The sequence below is a fragment of the Homo sapiens genome, chromosome 12 (assembly GCF_000001405.40).
Source record: "Homo sapiens chromosome 12, GRCh38.p14 Primary Assembly".
Classification (NCBI taxonomy): Eukaryota; Metazoa; Chordata; class Mammalia; order Primates; family Hominidae; genus Homo; species Homo sapiens.
In genome coordinates this window covers 127985154-127988308 of record NC_000012.12, presented here as the reverse complement: position 1 = coordinate 127988308, position 3155 = coordinate 127985154, and the positions used below count along the sequence as shown (strand labels likewise).

The following is a 3155-nucleotide window of genomic DNA, read 5'->3' as shown; positions in this document are numbered from 1 at the left end:
GTGCTTCACCAACTAGTATATTCCCTTCTAAAGGCAACAAAATATTATAAAATATTCTGAAAAAAGATTTAAAGGTGTTTATGATGCAGCAATACTCATTGTTTCAATTCTAAAAACTGGTGTTTTAGGCCGGATTGAGCCAAGGTGTTGGTGACTTACAACACCTGAGGCAGACAATTAAATAGCATATTTGAAAAGCTCTAGGCAGAAATACAGCAGAAATTAATTATTCCTGTGGAAAGTGGAGGTGATCAGGAAGCTACAGACAGGAGGAATATTCCAGCAGTCCCAGGAGGGTGATTGGACATATACCAAGTGGAATGAGGCCGGCGTGGGGAAGAGAATTGCAGGGTGTTCTTCTAACATGAGACCCTCATTCCTCCTTTATCCAGAGCAGGTTGCTTCTCTCTGAGATATCTGCACAGGGGTGTGTGCCTGCATGTGCATGTAGACATACCTCTACATCTGTGTCAATACGGGATACATATAGGGATTGTATTTAAAAATAATTTACTACTCAAGCAAAAGTGCGAAAGTGCCGGCATTTATCAGCATGAATCACGTGGCGTCAGCTGACTCAGAGTGTTGGGCGTGCGTTGGTGGCGCCATGCTTTGGTGGTGCTGTGATTCCTGACACATAGGTATTCACCAGCTAAGGGCCTCTAGGAATTGTGCTTTACGTTGTCAGATTCACCTCAGGATGGTTTTTTCTTTCCTTAATGGAGTAGCTTCTGCAGAGAGAATCACATCTGGTGCTTCACTCAGTTCTCCCTGGATCCCTTTGGCTTCTGAAGCCTGCCCCAGCTATTTTCCTATCAAGAGTGCCTTCAGGCCACTGCGTCAACTGTCACCAGGAAGGGTCATAGAAAGGCTCGAGGGCCTGGGAGTTTACTCCCTCCCCACAGTGGCTCCCTGCCAGTGACTGATGATTCTGGCATGAGAAAGCCCAGTTCTCATCCCAAGGTCTCTTTATGAGACAGCTGATCTAAGACTGGGGCTGTGGCTAAACAGCACACATGTAGGTTAGCCCGCTGGAGTTCAAATTCCAACTCCACTGACCACGACGTTAACTGAGAAAGTGAGCTAAATATGCTGTCTGTGAAACAGGGTTGTGGTGAATATTAAATGAAAGAATCTCTGTAACATCCCCCAAGCTCGTGCGTGGGTACAGTGAGGACTCGGTGTACAGCGGTGACCCTATTATCCTGCAAAGGACATGAGGTGGCTTCTCTAGCCTGCTCCCACTTTTGATGTCCGAAGAAAGGAATGTTCCTATAGGGTATCAATCATGGCCTGGGTGGCTTGGCTTACTTTTTCTGGGAAGAAAACAAGCCCAGGTGAGCCAGAATGAGCTAATATGCATTAAAGTTCATGCCTGGTGATGTGGAAGCAAAGTGTGCTACAGGAAGATGGGCAGAGGCCAGCATGGCAGAGAATAGGTGCAGGGGATGGCCAGTGAGAGGTCTGTGTAGTCTGTGTGTGTGTGTGTGTGTGTGTGTGTGTGCGTGCGTGCATGTGATCATGAGAGAGGCATGTTTTTTCCCAGACCAGAAATGAGATGGAGGGAGAGGCATATGCTCCCGGAGCAATCTCTTATGCCTAGGGTGCTTGCTGATTTGCAAATGTCACCTTTCAAGGCTACAATATGAAGTCTCCTTTAGTTTTGGGAACAAAGGGATTGAAAGAAATTTACAGGTTTTGTTGTGGGATGGGTGGCGGAGAAGAACAAAATGTACCCAGTCATGCAATCCTTCCATGACTAGGGCTTTAGAAATTGAGGGCACGAGATTTTGCAGGAGTGAGACAAAAGTGGGATCCGAGGAGGGACAGGCATGACTGGCTGCAAATAGACTGCCTTTTCTCAAGGAAGCCTGTCTGATGTATTACGGAGAAGCCGAAGTGAGGTTAGTGGAGGCAAAGATTAAAAACGAAGCTTCACATTTTATGACATTTTGGTGCTCAGGCTGAAAGGGATCAGAAATGATAAATTCTTTGTGACATCTGGGTGTTTGGATCATTCCCTTCTCACCTGCAGCCTCTCTTCACTCACGAGTCAGATGTGGGTTTCTGCACGCAGCCCAGCAAGCTTCATAAACACCCCTTCAGCTGCTGTTGATGTGTAACGATCATGGCCAACCATATCAAGTACTAATGATGCATGTCACAACGAGGCTATATGTTCAATGCTTTATTCTGTGTTTTTTTTTTTTTTGGTCATCTGCACAAATGCCTTAGAATTAGTAAGCTCAAAAATTATTCTCATTTAATTTGTGCATTAACAGGCTCAGAGAGGGCAAGTGATTTGCTTAAAGCCACACAGCTTGATAATAATAAAGCTAGGATTTGAACTCAAGTTTTAACCTGGTATGTATTGGTAGTGTATTCTGACTCTTGGGCTATATAGTAAAAAATGAATCTTAAGTTACATCAGGCAACCAGCGCAAAATTTTCAGCTTCTTAAATTCATGATTTCTTTTTTTTTTGAGACAGAAGAAAAGTCTCAATAAATACAACATTTAATGTGTCAATTATCCATATTGAAATCTCTATGGTAATTACTTCAGAGTGGTAACATTATTTATAATTTCCTAATTCATAGAAAAAATATGTAAGTAAACATTTTCTCATTTGAAATAAGAAAAAACAGGCAAGACACAGAAAAACAAAAGCAGAATAAGTTGACAGCCCAAATATATTAAGAATTGCATTACATATAAGGAGACTGAATCTAACGATTAAACAAAAATAAATGCCCCTTTGAATTAAAATGAAATGATATTTATAGGAGATTCACTTAAAACAGAGATAAAGATTGAAAAAATTATACCATGCAAACAATACCAAAGAAAGATTGTGTGTCCAGAAAAATATTTGACAAAATAATCTTTATAATAAAGCGTGCAACTAGAGTTAAGAAGACTTCATAAAAGTTAAAAATCATTGAGAAGATAGAATTTTTTTTTTTTTTTTGAGACAGTCTCTCTGTGTCAACCAGTTTGTAGTGCAGCGGGATGATCTCAGCTCACTGCAACCTCTGCCTCCCAGGCTCAAGTGATCCTCCCACCTTAACCTCCCAAGTAGCTAGGACTATAGGCATGTACCACCATGCCTGGCTACTTTTTGTACTAGTTCCTTGATTTCTTATAATTATTGGA

The 3155-nt window shown here is 41.8% G+C and overlaps 1 annotated feature.

Annotated features, from left to right (window-relative positions):
* Nucleotides 808–1008: a silencer, noted in NCBI's record as "peak2041 fragment used in MPRA reporter construct". NCBI's record gives its function as "represses an SCP1 promoter by STARR-seq MPRAs in K562 erythroleukemia cells {active_cell/tissue: K562}" and the evidence as "EXISTENCE:reporter gene assay evidence [ECO:0000049][PMID:32103011]".